This window comes from Homo sapiens, chromosome 14 (genome assembly GCF_000001405.40).
Source record: "Homo sapiens chromosome 14, GRCh38.p14 Primary Assembly".
Classification (NCBI taxonomy): Eukaryota; Metazoa; Chordata; class Mammalia; order Primates; family Hominidae; genus Homo; species Homo sapiens.
This window is the reverse complement of record NC_000014.9, coordinates 56,012,619-56,029,596: the sequence shown is the minus strand read 5'-3', so window position 1 is coordinate 56,029,596 and position 16,978 is coordinate 56,012,619. Positions and strand designations below refer to the sequence as shown.

Below are 16,978 nucleotides of genomic sequence, written 5' to 3'. Positions count from 1 at the left end.
GGACCATATGAAATTGCTAGTTTCTTGGTAAAATGATAAAATATCAGCAGTCTTATACAGTTCACATTAATAAACCCATTTTTGCCATGTGTTTTGCATGAGTACATCAAAGTATAAACATATGTGACATTATGACTGGAGGTCTCTATACACTCTTTAATCCTTCTTTATTTCACCAATCAACTCACCTACTCACCAATCAATCAACCAAACAGACACAGACTAGAATCCATACACAGTTCCATGCAGAGACTCCCCAGCCTGCCCCATAAAGGGCCTTTTAAATTTTGGAAGGCTGCAGAGAGGTAGGGAGGAGGCAGTGGGAGTTGATAAACAATGAACGTTTGAGAAAGAACTTTCAGTCTACCTCCTCCAAACTGCAGTATTCTTCTTTCTGTCATCATCTAAAGGTTTAAACCAAATGAATTTTTATTGAATCTAAGAGCTATGATTGTTTTGCTTTCATTTTTCAGAGGGAAGAACTAGAAGATATGCATAGTAAGAGAGAAAATAACATATTCATATTTCATTTTTATTATTAAAATCTTGACTTACAGCCACTATCAGCAAACATGTGAATAGCCTAGCTGATACAATGAATAAAAAGCCGTGGGTAATGGAAATGTCTACTGTGTGCATTTTTGGAACTTGATTTTTACGAGAGACAAAGCAGAGAAAGCTGGAACACAAAGTTTTTCAAAGAAGTAAGAGACCAAGTATTCACCATGATGAACAATTCGATAGCTTCCTCTCAAACATACGAAGTTTAGGAAGCACTGATATCTGTTAGCCTCAAAAGATTCAGGATCCCTGAATTCTTGCTTCCACCCTGTTACATACCCCTCCCAACACACACAGACTACTAGTTACCCCTAAACATCCATTCTGTCCTTTTTCTACGTAATATGATCCCTGCTCTTTACCTGGGCACATTGCCACCCAATTGAAAGACTACCTTCACCAAGCCATAAAGTAGTTGGCAGTGACCATGTAACTAAGTTTGGCCATAGAGTTCCATGTGACTTCTGGGAAGTTTCCAAAAAGGGAGGGTCATGCTCTTGGTCCCTACATCTGTCTAGCTGCCTAGAGCAAAAATATGAGGCTGGAGTTCAAGAAGACATCTCAGAGCCCCAGGGAGGGCAGAGGGGAGAGCTGGGAGGGACCTGGGTCTCTGATGACTTAGTAGGGCTGCCAGAGCAGCTCTTCTCTGGCTGCTTCCACACTTCTTTCATTTGAGATAGACACAATCTCCTGTCCTGTTCAAGCCACTATTACTCTCATTTTTTTCTGTTCTATGCTGCCAATTGATAGTGCCTGCAAATTACCCTGGTCCTAAAATAAATTATGTATCATGATGCGTTCATGTGATAAGTCTCAGCACTTAGCATTTTCATGACAAAGTGGAAGGGCAGAGAGGTTTGTCATGTGATTCATTGTACTTTAGTTCTAAATGCTTGAAAAACAGTTGGATTTCCCTCAAGTTTGTTTGATCATGCAGCAATTTCCAATGACTTCAGCCAGCAATATTTGAAAACTGTGGTTTCATGTCATAACTATCTGGGCCTCTAGAGTAAAATACATCTTTTGTTTTCAAATGTCAATCTCCCTCTGAAAGAGAAGAAATACTTTTAAAAGCTAAACCCTGTTAACTGCTGTGAGCTTGGCTTGTATATTACTTGCCTTGTATGTACAGGAACACCCACTACTTTCTACCCCCATAATTTCATTGTGTCCCTGACTAAATCCTCATCATTCCTAAAGAGAAGACCCATAGTTGTCAGGAATGTTTTGATTTAAAATGAGAGACATTTAACTCATGCTAATGTAAGGAAAGCACAAAGTGTTCATGCCACTGAATAGTTCATGAGACGGAACTTCAAGCTTGGCTAGGTCAGGTGGCATCATCAGAAATATGTTTTGTTGCATCTTATGACCTTGCTTTCCTCCATGATAGCAGGGTTTCTATGTATGGTGAACAAAATAGCTCCTAACAAACAAAAGTTCCCATAGTCCTTAATGTTAACATTAATACCCCAAAAATAGGCTGCCCCTGATTTGTCTGGCTTAAGTCACATGTTCATCCTTGAACTAATCATGTGGCTGGGGGAATGGAGTGTTCTGATTAGCAAGGCCTGGTCCACATGTCACCCTTGTAGCCAGGGGTACTACATTAGCAGAGCATGAGAAAAAAAGAAGAGTGATTTCATCATCACCAGAAGAGAGCATACTTAGAAAGAAAAGACAACAGGCATCTTCCATGGGCAATTCAAGAACTTTAAAAAACAGAAGGACAAATAATGTGTTACTGTCACATTATTTGTTGTTGCATGTGACAAATGTTGCATGTGACAAGATGTTGCATGTGACAAATGCAACATCTTTGGATGCTTTCTCGGTTGCACCCTTTTCATCTTACTGTATTTTTCAGCTAATTACATTTTACTGCTAATTAATTTGTAGTACAGCTAGTACTTATTATTCAGTATCTGTTATTTATATAAGTTTCTCATTCTTCTAACTTCTAAAGTTCTGGCTTTTCAACCTAGAGGTGCATGTTTGGTAAGACCAAAGCGATGTAGAAATGGAGGGATTTAAAATTCTTTGTTTTAAACAGATGAGATGGTTGGGTTTGGAAGCTTTGAGGAATTCTGACATAGAGAGTGAAATAGCTCTGATTTAGGAAATGCTTTGAGAGATTACAATACTGGGTTCTATCTATATGGGAAAGGAATAATACTGACAACTAGCATAAAATGGATGGTAGAATTCACTTAGCATAAGTTTTTATGTCCTAAGAGTTTCAGCTCCAATTTATGCAGAAACCTCAGTGTGAGTCAGTTAGAGATAGGAAGCCAGGACATGGTAAGACCGAAGGTGGATCATGAGGGACTGTTCACCAGTCATCCAAATGGCAAATGTTATGCTCAGCCCTGACCAAATGGCATCAATAGCCAAGTGTTCCTGATGTGGAAGTGGCATAGGCAGAAGACAGCATGTGAGTCAAGGGGTGGCCCAAGTGTAGTCTAGGACTCCACCCAGTAGTGCTGGTTACAGAGAGATCAGTGTTCATTCCTCAAGAATAGGTACTGGCAAAAGCTAGGCGAACTCTCCAAACCTCATAAAAGTAGTTTAGTATTTAAAGAAAAACTTCATGTCCAGGAGGCACCTTTAGGTACAAATCAAGAAACAAAGGCAATAATAGCACAATGATGACTGGGCAGTTGGTCATGGCTTTGATCAAGGGCATGCAGTTGCCAGACAAATCCCAGATTCCAACAACTGGAGAGTGTATAACTGCTAATACCTTGCTAACTTGGCACACAATGGCTGGAAAACTTAGGGCTGAGATTTCCAGTTTAAGATTTCAGCTTCAAGAGCCTTAGAATGAAGAGGAAAAACAAAATGATGAATTTGAAGCAATCTTCAACTACTTTAAAAACTTACACTTATTTTTATATTTTGAAGCACCTACTCCAGTGCTGGCGATTGTACTCAGTACAGATGTACTGGATTAAAGGAAGAATGACATAAACACTCATTCATCTGTCCCAATGTGACCATACAGAAAATGGGGGGTAATGAATGTATCCACAAATGGGAAGAATGCTGGCTGGGCCATCTGCTGATGCAAACTTAATCCACTTGCTGCAGGGTTCTAATCAACTGAGCCAACCAGCTTCCAGGCCACACTTCCAGGATCCACCAAAACGCTTGTTAATATCAATCTGTTTTCTAGCTCCTAGGAAACAATGTGAGCTCTCGGTCTATGCTTTCTTGAACTTTGAGAAGACAGCTCTTGGAAGTAGAAACATGGGGTTTTTCACACCTAGAATGATGACATCTCCAGGCCCAGTGACTATCCATGAAGGGAATTTTGTGCTTTTATAGTTTTTATACTGGGGGAGTCTGGTGCAATACTTCTGGACATGCTCACCCATTGTATCTTTCTGGCTCCGATGTTAAAAAAAGCCCTCTTGCCCCTTGCTTATTTCCTTCTTAAAGAGCATGTAAACCCTGGTTAGAGAGGAAATCACTCATTGCTTCCATGGGATTGCTAAATAGTTTTTGGAACCTCTTGGAAATCAAACAAAGTAGGTTTCACCAGACTATCTTGGCCATCACTGGGCTGACAGATGTCATATCCAGGTTGTCCTCATGCCCAAGTAGTTAGTGGGAGCCAGGCCAGAACTCCAAGCTGGCAGTCCAAGGGCATACACCGTTGGAGTGGACAGTGGGCATGAGGCATAGTTGAATCGGAGATACACCTGGGTCAGGGAAGGCAGGTAGGCTGATAGGTAATCAAAGTTAAACAAGGCAAGAAATAGACTTTTTATCTCTTATCAGGGAAAATGTAGGCAGGGAGAAAATGTCAACGCATTGAACAGCTCTGTGTGACTGTGAGTGCCCTTGTTTTTAGGGAAATCTTGGTTAAAGGACATCACGAAATCCCATTGCAGTCTGATACCTTCTTGGTCGGTCACTACATCCTTCATTCTTAGAGCTCTATTCCTGAAAGGAATTCTGTTCCTAGTGTGTGGGACTTCATTTACATGGAATCATGTTTTTTTGTTTTTGTTTTTTTGTTTTTTTTTGAGACAGAGTCTCGCTCTGTCACCCAGGCTGGAGTGCAGTGGTGCGATCTTGGCTTACTGCAACCTTCGACTCCCAGGTTCAAGAGATTCTCCCGCCTCAGCTTCCCAAGTAGCTGGGACTATAGGCATGCACCACCACGGCCAGCTAATTTTTGTATTTTTAGTAGAGACAGGGTTTCACCATGTTGGCCAGGCTAGTCTCGATCTCCTGACCTTATGATCTGCCCGCCTTAGCCTCCCAAAGTGCTGGGATTACAGGCATGAGCCACTACACCTGGCCTGGAATCATCTTTAAACACTCTTTCATATACACTCAGGAGCTAAAAGCCTCGGTGTCATGAGAAGTTCAGATCTTCAGATCTTATCTGAATTAGTGTTGAGGATGGAGACAGGAACGTCTTTTTTTTTTTCTTTTGGTTATAGGGTCTTCCTCTGTCACCTAGGCTGGATTGCAGTGGTGAGATCTTGGCTGACTGCAACCTCTGTCTCCTGGCTTCAAGTGATCCTCCCACCTCAGCCTCCTGAGTAGCTGGGATTACAGGCATGCGCCACCACACCTGGCTTTTTTTGTTGTTGTTTTATTTTTAGTAGAAACTGGGTTTCACCATGTTGACCAGGCTGGTCTCGAACTCCCGGGCTCAAGCAATCCTCCCGCCTCGGCCTCCCAGAGTGCTGCAATTACAGGTGTGAGCTACCATGCCTGGCCAGGACAACATCTTTAGGAAAGTATTTAGGAAGAGTTTTTTTAAGGAAGATGTTGTCCTTTAGGAAGGACAATGTCTTTAGGGACTGGGGAGGAGGCCTTCCCTGTCCTCTTGACCATTCTTTCCCCTGTGGCCTCTGACTCCGGGGCAGGGGAGAGGCAGTACTCTGCTACACTTCAGTGGAAGCTGCAGCTGGGAGTCTGGGGCCAGGGTGCAGCATGAACATTGCTGAGCCCACCATTGCAGTGGCTCCAGTCAGCCTTGGCGTTTGTATGCAAGGTCCCTGAGCCTCTGCATCATGCACAAGCACTTGGGAGGAGATGGTAGCATTGAACAGACATTCTCTCCTCACCCACATAAATCCTCAGAGGGTTTCCCTCTGTGGGTTTATAAAAGCCCTTTATCTAATTCATGGCTCAGAGAATTGAGCTCACTGGCAAGAGGCTTTTTAAGTCAAATTTTGAATAATTTCTCAGCAATTCATTACGTAGGAAAACAGGTCCTTTTTGTTCTAATACTTAGCCTAGGAATGCAACTACTCTCTGCCAAATTCATTAACAAAACCTGTGTATAAGGCCTGGAAGGCTCAGGCCAATTTCTTAAATGTGCTAAAACTTGCTGGTCATTGAAATGTAAATTTTTACCTTCAGCTAGAAATTATTCACAAGTGTTAGATTGTAGGAAATAGCAATGTCACTTTCAAATGCCCAGGATAGTTCCAGACCAAGTACCCATTGTGAGCTGAGGCTTAACGTGTGGCAACCAAGAGAGACAGCCACATGTCATCTTTCTGATTGGCACAGAAGGGAGGCCCGTGAATGAACATGAGCACAGCTTGAAGGTGAAAGAGTCCCCTCATTGGCAACATAAAGTGACCAGAGCTCAGCAGACCCCACAAGCAGGACCAGGCTGTTCAGGCCTCCTGCTCACACACCCATTATTGTCACTATTAGAACAGTCCAGCCTTGCCACCCCAGCCTGGCCTATGTGGAGCAAGGGCAGGGTTCTCTAGACAGTGGAAGAGAGGGTAGTGGCTAAAGGACCCCAGAATGATGAAGCTAGTGAAACAGGGAAAGGCATAAAGAGTCATCTCCAGGGATGCGGCTGCTTGATACAAAATTGGGTATACTTATTCCTAGTTATATACATTATTTATATTATGTCGTAGTAAAAGATACCATATTGTTTATATTTAAAATATTTAATATATAACTTATATGTAATATAAATAATACATTTAAAGTAAAATATTAAAATATTTAGAAATCATATGAACTTTTAATATATCCTATGTATATTTTTAAAATATGTGTTAGTATAGATGCTTGGAAAAAACCTGGAAAAAATTATACTAATACAAGGCTATTGATTTGCCTGGCACAATTAAAGGTAAATTTTTGGTTTCTTCATTATGCTTTTCTATATGTCCTAAGTTTCTTTTAGTAAGCAAAGTTTTCTCTTGTAATTATAGTTGTAATTATCACCATTATCAACTAACATTTATTGAGTAATCGTTTTGCTCCTGGTACCATGCTAAGCACTTTACATGTATTATTTCATAAACCTAATAACCACCACAGGTAACCAGCATCACAACCATTTGTAGAGGTATTATTTGGTGACAATTAAGTACTGTTGAAGATGCTCAGGCTTCACAAGGTAACTCACCACCCAGTGTGTTAGAAACTCCTTTTTGGTCACGTCCATAGAATATTCTGTCCCAGAGGTCAAAGTTAAGACAAGTTGCTTGGTAGGTAAGACAAGCTTCTTTGTGCTAGTGTTCTCAGCATCACCTGGGAGTCTGTAGAGGTGGATAATTGTACTTTCAATTTGCTTAAATACCAGAATTATCTTAAATAATTACAGAGAATCTACTATGCATCAGGCCTTCAGACACTGGGCTGTGGATGAGAATGCTAAGAGAGAAGATGGCCCCACCTTCAGGGTCTGGTGGAGTTGCAGACAGGAGAGCAAGCTAACCTAGCATGTGATCAATGCTACAAAGGGAAGCCATGGCCGTGGTACAAAGAAGGGAGGACTCTGCCCCAGAGATGTCTACGTGTGGCTGAACAGCCTAATTATCTGGAGTGCTTTATGAAATTACAGACTCTGGATCTGAATCGCTGGGGCAGAGCCCTGGGAATCTGTATTTCACAACAGTTCTTCTGGTGATTCTGATTTGCAGTCAGGATCAGAAATCACCAATAGATTCTTCTCTTTGACTTGCATGGTGCATGGTAGGTACCATGTTTGGCTGGCAGAGTAATCTTCTCTTTTTACATAAAAAAGAAAGTTTTAAGAATGCATGACACTTAAGATGGGTGTGGAAGGATAAGCAAGAAACTTCAGTTTTATTCCCTCATTCAAGCAGTGTCTCACAGAATAATATGTCTTGAAGAAGTGTTAAGACGACACATCTCCCTGGTAACCTTTTTCTCAGTCTAAAACAGTTGAGAATATCAGTAATTGTTTCATATAGTAAGTATTTATATAAACATTTCTATTGCCAAGCATCCAATTCAGTTCCCATGCATCAAACAATTCAATGCGTCTTTTTTAGGACCTACTATGGGCAAAGTACATTGCTAATCAGTGAGCAAATAAGGCCCCTGACCTTGAGGAGAACAAAAGGGCTTTTTAGATAAATAATCTAAGGAGAGAGAAGAGGAGTAAGTCATGAGTGCATAAAGACATAGAAAAGTTTGATCAAATTGCACACAAGTTCAGTTTACATGTCCCTCACAGCTATATTCATATTTTCCCACACTACTAAATCGTTGGTTGTATATTGAGAAATAAACTGCTAGTTTCCAACCCAATATCCACCTTCCCCTTCTCTCTACATTACTGGAGTCAAAAACATGCCTCGCAGGGAAAAACCTTAAATTTTCCGACCTCCTTTACATTTAAGGGTGGCAGATGTGATGGAAGCAAAAGTCATTGATTGAGGCTTCCAATAAGGCCCTTTTTTTATCCCTGCTGCCCTTTCTGTTGCCTGAAGTTCAGATTGCAATTGTTGGAGCTCCAGCAGCCATCTTGAAACAATGAGGGAATGTCCAAATAAATCACAGACACCTCAGTTGTGATATCTTTGTGCTGTTGAGCCATGGCCAGTCTCTATTTACCTCCAGACTTCACAATATGTGAAAGAAATAAATCCTGTGTGTTTAAGCCACTTTGGTCAGGTCTCTGTTCCTAGCAGCTATAAACACCGCTTAATTGCACCCATTCTGGTCAGGTACATCTATCTCCCAGAGCCTAGGTCATACATACAGAAATCTACCAGTGTGCTTCAATGTACTTGTTCATATGGCTTGCAAACTGGACTCCTGTACACCATCAAATAACTAATGAACATTTGATGAGGGATCTTCTATTTCATTCCCCTCAATCTGTTACATAAAGAATAGTTAGTTGCTTGGCAAAGATTATATAGGTAAATGGTCAAGTTTGAGACCAAACCCAAAGCTTTGGGTACCCCTATGCTGTGTATTTCTACTGTTCTGTTGCCATTGAGCCATCCCAGGAGGCTCTTGGACCCTCCAATTCGTCAAGGATGAAAAAGGCAGTCTTGACATTTATAAATTTTACTTAATCATTGCTTTGTTGCCAAATCTGTGAGATTTGGGGAAAGGTTCTGTTGTCATGAAAGACTAGATAAAAGGACAGGCTCCTCTTTCACTATTAAAGAAAATCTGCTCCTGCCCTGAAGCTCGCGATTCCATTTCCTTTGCTTCGATAAACTACAAGTGGTTTTAAATTGAGTCATAAATTTCTCCAGGCCTTTTAAAGACCAGCCCCTGCCTTTGATTCCCCCACCTCCTGTGGCAGTGAAATCTGGCTGGAGACATACACATACCACTCTGTGCACATTTAGACTCGGAGTTGGAAATTTACAGTCCATGCCTTGCAGAATGACCTCGATTTTCCAATAGCCTGAGATGGAACCAAAGAGATTGCCAGTGTAGATGTGCCCAGGTTGGCAGGTCTCTGGGACTTACCCAAACCACATCTAGAGAAGACCCTAACACCATATATCAAGAAGTGAACAATTTATTGGTGGCTCCAATGAACTCCTTGAGTTAACGATATTGACTCCTTGCTTTGGAGTCATGGACAAAGATATATTTTTCTTTGTTAAATCATTTTTAAGTTACTTACTTTGGCCTGATTACCTATGTCTGAGCTATAGGGACTGAATAATTTTGAAGAGTAAAACCACTATGTTTAGTAAGACATGATTAGTAAAATCCATCTCGGGAGGAGCCAAGATGGCCGAATAGGAACAGCTCTGGTCTACAGCTCCCAGCGTGAGTGACACAGAAGACAGGTGATTTCTGCATTTCCATCTGAGGTACCGGGTTCATCTCACTAGGGAGTGCCAGACAGTGGGCGCAGGTCAGTGGGTGCGCGCACCGTGCGCGAGCCGAAGCAGGGCGAGGCATTGCCTCACTCGGGAAGTGCGAGGGGTCAGTGAGTTCCCTTTCCTAGTCAAAGAAAGGGGTGACAGAAGGCACCTGGAAAATCGGGTCACTCCCAACCAAATACTGCGCTTTTCCGACGGGCTTAAAAAACAGCACACCAGGAGATTATATCCCACACCTGGCTCGGAGGGTCCTATGCCCACGGAGTCTCGCTGATTGCTAGCACAGTAGTCTGAGATCAAACTGCAAGGCGGCAGCGAGGCTGGGGGAGGGGTGCCCGCCATTGCCCAGGCTTGCTTAGGTAAACAAAGCAGCCAGGAAGCTGGAACTGGGTGGAGCCCACCACAGCTCAAGGAGGCCTGCCTGCCTCTGTAGGCTCCACCTCTGGGGGCAGGGCACAGACAAACAAAAAGACAGCAGTAACCTCTGCACACTTAAATGTCCCTGTCTGACAGCTTTGAAGAGAGCAGTGGTTCTCCCAGCACGCAGCTGGAGATCTGAGAACAGGCAGACTGCCTCCTCAAGTGGGTCCCTGACCCCTGACCCCGGAGCAGCCTAACTGGGAGGCACCTCCCAGCAGGGGCAGACTGACACCTCACACGGCCGGGTACTCCAACAGACCTGCAGCTGAGGGTCCTCTCTGTTAGAAGGAAAACTAACAAACAGAAAGGACATCCACACCAAAAACCCATCTGTACATCACCATCATCAAAGACCAAAAGTAGATAAAACCACAAAGATGGGGAAAAAACAGAGCAGAAAATCTGGAAACTCTAAAAAGCAGAGCGCCTCTCCTCCTCCAAAGGAAGGCAGTTCCTCACCAGCAACGGAACAAAGCTGGATGGAGAATGACTTTGATGAGTTGAGAGAAGAAGGCTTCAGATGATCAAATTACTCTGAGCTATGGGAGGACATTCAAACCAAAGGCAAAGAAGTTGAAAACTTTGAAAAAAATTTAGACGGATGTATAACTAGAATAACCAATACAGAGAAGTGCTTAAAGGAGCTGGTGGAGCTGAAAACCAAGGCTCAAGAACTACATGAAGAATGCAGAAGCCTCAGGAGCTGATGCGATCAACTGGAAGAAAGGGTATCAGCGATGGAAGATGAAATGAATGAAATGAACCGAGAAGGGAAGTTTAGAGAAAAAAGAATAAAAAGAAATGAGCAAAGCCTCCAAGAAATATGGGACTATGTGAAAAGACCAAATCTACGACTGATTGGTGTACCTGAAAATGATGGGGAGAATGGAACCAAGTTGGAAAACACTCTGCAGGATATTATCCAGGAGAACTTCCCCAATCTAGCAAGGCAGGCCAACATTCAAATTCAGGAAATACAAGGAACACCACAAAGATACTCCTCGAGAAGAGCAACCCCAAGACACATAATTGTCAGATTCACCAAAGTTGAAATGAAGGAAAAAATGTTAAGGGCAGCCAGAGAGAAAGGTCGGGTTACCCTCAAAGGGAAGCCCATCAGACTAACAGCTGATCTCTCGGCAGAAACTCTACAAGCCAGAAGAGAGTGGGGGCCAATATTCAACATTCTTAAAGAAAAGAATTTTCAACCCAGAATTTCATATCCAGCCAAACTAAGCTTCATAAGTGAAGGAGAAATAAAATACTTCACAGACAAGCAAATGCTGAGAGATTTTGTCACCACCAGGCCTGCCCTAAAAAGAGCTCCTGAAGGAAGCACTAAACATGGAAAGGAACAACTGGTACCAGCCGCTGCAAAATCATGCCAAAATGTAAAGACCATCGAGACTAGGAAGAAACTGCATCAACTGACGAGCAAAATAACCAGCTAACAACATAATGACAGGATGAAATTCACACATAACAATATTAACTTTAAATGTAAATGGACTAAATGCTCCAATTAAAAGACACAGACTGGCAAATTGGATAAAGAGTCAAGACCCATCAGTGTGCTGTATTCAGGAAACCCATCTCACGTGCAGAGACACACATAGGCTCAAAATAAAGGGATGGAGGAAGATCTACCAAGCAAATGGAAAACAAAAAAAGGCAGGGGTTGCAATCCTAGTCTCTGATAAAACAGACTTTAAACCAACAAAGATCAAAAGAGACAAAGAAGGCCATTACATAATGGTAAAGGGATCAATTCAACAAGAAGAGCTAACTATCCTAAATATATATGCACCCAATACAGGAGCATCCAGATTCATAAAGCAAGTCCTGAGTGACCTACAAAGAGACTTAGACTCCCACACATTAATAATGGGAGACTTTAACACCCCACTGTCAACATTAGACAGATCAACGAGACAGAAAGTCAACAAGGATACCCAGGAATTGAACTCAGCTCTGCACCAAGCGGACCTAATAGACATCTATAGAACTCTCCACCCCAAATCAACAGAATATACATTTTTTTCAGCACCACACCACACCTATTCCAAAATTGACCACATAGTTGGAAGTAAAGCTCTCCTCAGCAAATGTAAAAGAACAGAAATTATAACAAACTATCTCTCAGACCACAGTGCAATCAGACTAGAACTCAGGATTAAGAATCTCACTCAAAACCGCTCAACTACATGGAAACTGAACAACCTGCTCCTGAATGACTACTGGGTACATAACGAAATGAAGGCAGAAATAAAGATGTTCTTTGAAACCAACGAGAACAAAGACACAACATACCAGAATCTCTGGGACGCATTCAAAGCAGTGTGTGGAGGGAAATTTATAGCACTAAATGCCCACAAGAGAAAGCAGGAAAGATCCAAAATTGACACCCTAACATCACAATTAAAAGAACTAGAAAAGCAAGAGCAAACACATTCAAAAGCTAGCAGAAGGCAAGAAATAACTAAAATCAGAGCAGAACTGAAGGAAATAGAGACACAAAAAACCCTTCAAAAAATTAGTGAATCCAGGAGCTGGTTTTTTGAAAGGATCTACAAAATTGATAAACTGCTAGCAAGACTAATAAAGAAAAAAAGAGAGAAGAATCAAATAGATGCAATAAAAAATGATAAAGGGGATATCACCACTGATCCCACAGAAATACAATCTACCATCAGAGAATACTACAAACACCTCTACGCAAATAAACTAGAAAATCTAGAAGAAATGGATAAATTCCTCCACACATACACTCTCCCAAGACTAAACCAGGAAGAAGTTGAATCTCTGAATAGACCAATAACAGGAGCTGAAATTGTGGCAATAATCAATAGCTTACCAACCAAAAAGAGTCGAGGACCAGATGGATTCACAACCAAATTCTACCAGAGGTACAAGGAGGAACTGGTACCATTCCTTCTGAAACTATTCCAATCAATAGAAAAAGAGGGAATCCTCTCTAACCCATTTTATGAGGCCACCATCATCCTGATACCAAAGCCGGGCAGAGACCCAACCAAAAAAGAGAATTTTAGACCAATATCCTTGATGAACTTTGATGCAAAAATCCTCAATAAAATACTGGCAAACCGAATCCAGCAGCACATCAAAAAGCTTATCCACCATGATCAAGTGGGCTTCATCCCTGGGATGCAAGGCTGGTTCAACATATGCAAATCAATAAATGTAATCCAGCATATAAACAGAACCAAAGACAAAAACCACATGATTATCTCAATAGATGCAGAAAAGACCTTTGAAAAAATTCAACAACCCTTCATGCTAAAAACTCTCAATAAATTAGGTATTGATGGGATGTATTTCAAAATAATAAGAGCTATCTATGACAAACCCACAGCCAATATCATACTGAATGGGCAAAAACTGGAAGCACTCCCTTTGAAAACTGGCACAAGACAGGGATGCCCTCTCTCACCACTCCTATTCAACATAGTGTTGGAAGTTCTGGCCAGGGCAATCAGGCAGGAGAAGGAAATAAAGGGTATTCGATTAGGAAAAGAGGAAGTCAAATTGTCCCTGTTTGCAGATGACATGATTGTATATCTAGAAAACCCCATCGTCTCAGCCCAAAATCTCCTTAAGCTGATAAGCAACTTCAGCAAAGTCTCAGGATACAAAATCAATGTACAAAAATCACAAGCATTCTTATACACCAACAACAGACAAACAGAGAGCCAAATCATGAGTGAACTCCCATTCACAATTGCTTCAAAGAGAATAAAATACCTAGGAATCCAACTTACAAGGGATGTGAAGGACCTCTACAAGGAGAATTACAAACCACTGCTCAAGGAAGTAATAGAGGATACAAACAAATGGAAGAACATTCCATGCTCATGGGTAGGAAGAATCAATATCGTGAAAATGGCTATACTGCCCAAGGTAACTTACAGATTCAATGCCATCCCCATCAAGCTACCAATGACTTTCTTCACAGAATTGGAAAAAACTACTTTAAAGTTCGTATGGAACCAGAAAAGAGCCCGCATCGCAAAGTCAATCTTAAGCCAAAAGAACAAAGCTGGAGGCATCACACTACCTGACTTCAAACTATACTACAAGGCTACAGTAACCAAAACAGCATGGTACTGGTACCAAAACAGAGATATAGATCAATGGAACAGAACAGAGCCCTCAGAAATAACGCCGCATATCTACAACTATCTGATCTTTGACAAACCTGAGAAAAACAAGAAATGGGGAAAAGATTCCCTATTTAATAAATGGTGCTGGGAAAACTGGCTAGCCATATGTAGAAAGCTGAAACTGGATCCCTTCCTTACACCTTATACAAAAATCAATTCAAGATGGATTAAAGACTTAAACATTGGACCTAAAACCATAAAAACCCTAGAAGAAAACCTAGGCTTTACCATTCAGGACATAGGCATGGGCAAGGACTTCATGTCTAAAACACCAAAAGCAATGGCAACAAAAGCCAAAATTGACAAATGGGATCTCATTAAACTAAAGAGCTTCTGCACAGCAAAAGAAACTACTATCAGAGTGAACAGGCAACCTACAAAATAGGAGAAAATTTTTGCAACCTACTCATCTGACAAAGGGCTAATATCCAGAATCTATAATGAGCTCAAACAAATTTACAAGAAAAAAACAAACAATCCCATCAAAAAGTGGGCGAAGGACATGAACAGACACTTCTCAAAAGAAGACATTTATGCAGCCAAAAAACACATGAAAAAATGCTCATCATCACTGGCCATCAGAGAAATGCAAATCAAAACCACAATGAGATACCATCTCACACCAGTTAGAATGGCAATCATTAAAAAGTCAGGAAACAACAGGTGCTGGAGAGGATGTGGAGAAATAGGAACACTTTTACACTGTTGGTGGAACTGTAAACTAGTTCAATCATTGTGGAAGTCAGTGTGGTGATTCCTCAGGGATCTAGAACTAGAAATGCCATTTGACCCAGCCATACCATTACAGGGTATATACCCAAAGGACTATAAATCATGCTGCTATAAAGACACATGCACACGTATGTTTATTGTGGCATTATTCACAATAGCAAAGACTTGGAACCAACCCAAATGTCCAACAATGATAGACTGGATTAAGAAAATGTGGCACATATACACCATGGAATACTATGCAGCCATAAAAAATGATGAGTTCATGTCCTTTGTAGGGACATGGATGAAATTGGAAATCATCATTCTCAGTAAACTATCGCAAGAACAAAAAACCAAACACCACATATTCTCACTCATAGGTGGGAATTGAACAATGAGAACACATGGACACAGGAAGGGGAACATCACACTCTGGGGACTGTTGTGGGGTGGGGGGAGGGGGGAGGGATAGCATTGGGAGATATACCTAATGCTAGATGACGAGTTAGTGGGTGCAGCGCACCAGCATGGCACATGTATACATATGTAACTAACCTGCACAATATGCACATGTACCCTAAAACTTAAAGTATAATAATAAAAAAAAAAAAAGCAAGCAAATGAAAAAAAAAAATCCATCTCACCGGTAAGTTCCCATACTTGGTGGGTGTGTTAGTTGGTTTTGTGTTGCTATAACAGAATATTTGAGACTGGGTACTTTATAAAGAATAGAGATTTATTTCTTACAGTTATGGAGGCTGGGAAGTCCAAGGTCAAGAGTCTGTATCTGATGAGAACCTTCTTGCTGTGTCATCTCATGGTAGAAGGCAGAAGGGCAGGAGATCATATGTGCCAGAGAGAGCAAGAGATCAAACTCACAGGAACAAGCACTTTTATAATTGGCATCAATCCATTCTTGAGAGTGGAGCCCTCATAACCTAAACCCCTCCCATTAGGTTCCATCTTCCAACACTGTTGCATTGAAGATTAAGTTTTTATCATATGAACTTTGGGGGCCACATTCAAACCACACAACAGTGGGTCACAGCAGAAGACTCTAGACAAGTATGTGAGTCTCCCATCTATCCCTGCTTCTTCTCTAGGGTCAGTTTGTCAGATGAGAGAGACAAAGTCAGGGTAGAATGCTTCTACCTAAGCAAATGGAATGTGTGTGGCCTGGAAATGGGAGCAGCAATCCCTTCTTCTGCACCCTGTACTCTTTACGGGCAAGGCTTGTAATCTCCAAGTCATGGCCAATTCTATTCTACTCTTTGAGCAGGCCTGACTATAGCAAAAGAAAACTTCTACAACTTTGAAGTTTTTTCTAAAGTCAAACCTGTCCCCAGGTCTCCCTGCTGGCAAAACATTCACTGTCTATGTTACCCAGTCTTGGTCTTTCTTAACGTCACACTCACAACCCCAGATTCTTCTCTGCTCTTCTCCATTGCTATTCCCATTCTCTCCCTCAGTACAACTAACCTCAGGAAATGGCAGAGAGATAACAGTCTTATTAAATTGATTCTCATTAAGGTGTGAATAATGTATAGGCTCCTCACCACCCACTGTCATCCTCTTAAATCATCTTCAATTTTACGAGTTTGACTTTTAGCCCCAACTTTTCTTCCAAAAAGCAGTGCAGTGTTGAGTAAATCACTGTATTGTAGAGCTTTCTTTAATTCACTTACATTTTCATTCATGCATTCAAATATTAAGCAGCAGTACAACATAGTATTTAAAAGGTGTAGACGGCCTGGGTTACAATCCTGTCTCTAAAACTAACAAGCTTTGCAAACTTGGGCAAGTTGCTTAACCTCTCTGTGCCAGTTTTGGCATCTTTAAAATGGAGATAAGAGTAGCGCCTTTCTCAAAGAGTTGCTTATTTAAAAAACATTTTCATCACATTGAGGACGTGCAGGACCTCTTCTAAACTTTTTATAAATATTATATACATTCATACATACATATTATATGTATAGACTATGTATATAACGTTATGTATAC

The 16,978-nt window shown here is 41.3% G+C and overlaps 1 long non-coding RNA gene across 2 annotated transcripts in view; it reads right to left on the bottom strand.

Annotated features, from left to right (window-relative positions):
• LOC105370512 (uncharacterized) overlaps nt 1-16,978 on the bottom strand; it is a 42,851-nt gene that overhangs the window by 17,942 nt on the left and 7,931 nt on the right. Inside the window, exon 2 of one of the 2 annotated variants that reach the window (XR_007064183.1) lies at nt 6,965-7,097. The exons of the other annotated variant lie outside the window; for it this stretch is intronic. This is a non-coding gene — a long non-coding RNA (uncharacterized LOC105370512). The remainder of the gene's footprint in view (nt 1-6,964; nt 7,098-16,978) is intronic. 2 annotated transcript variants of the gene reach the window in all.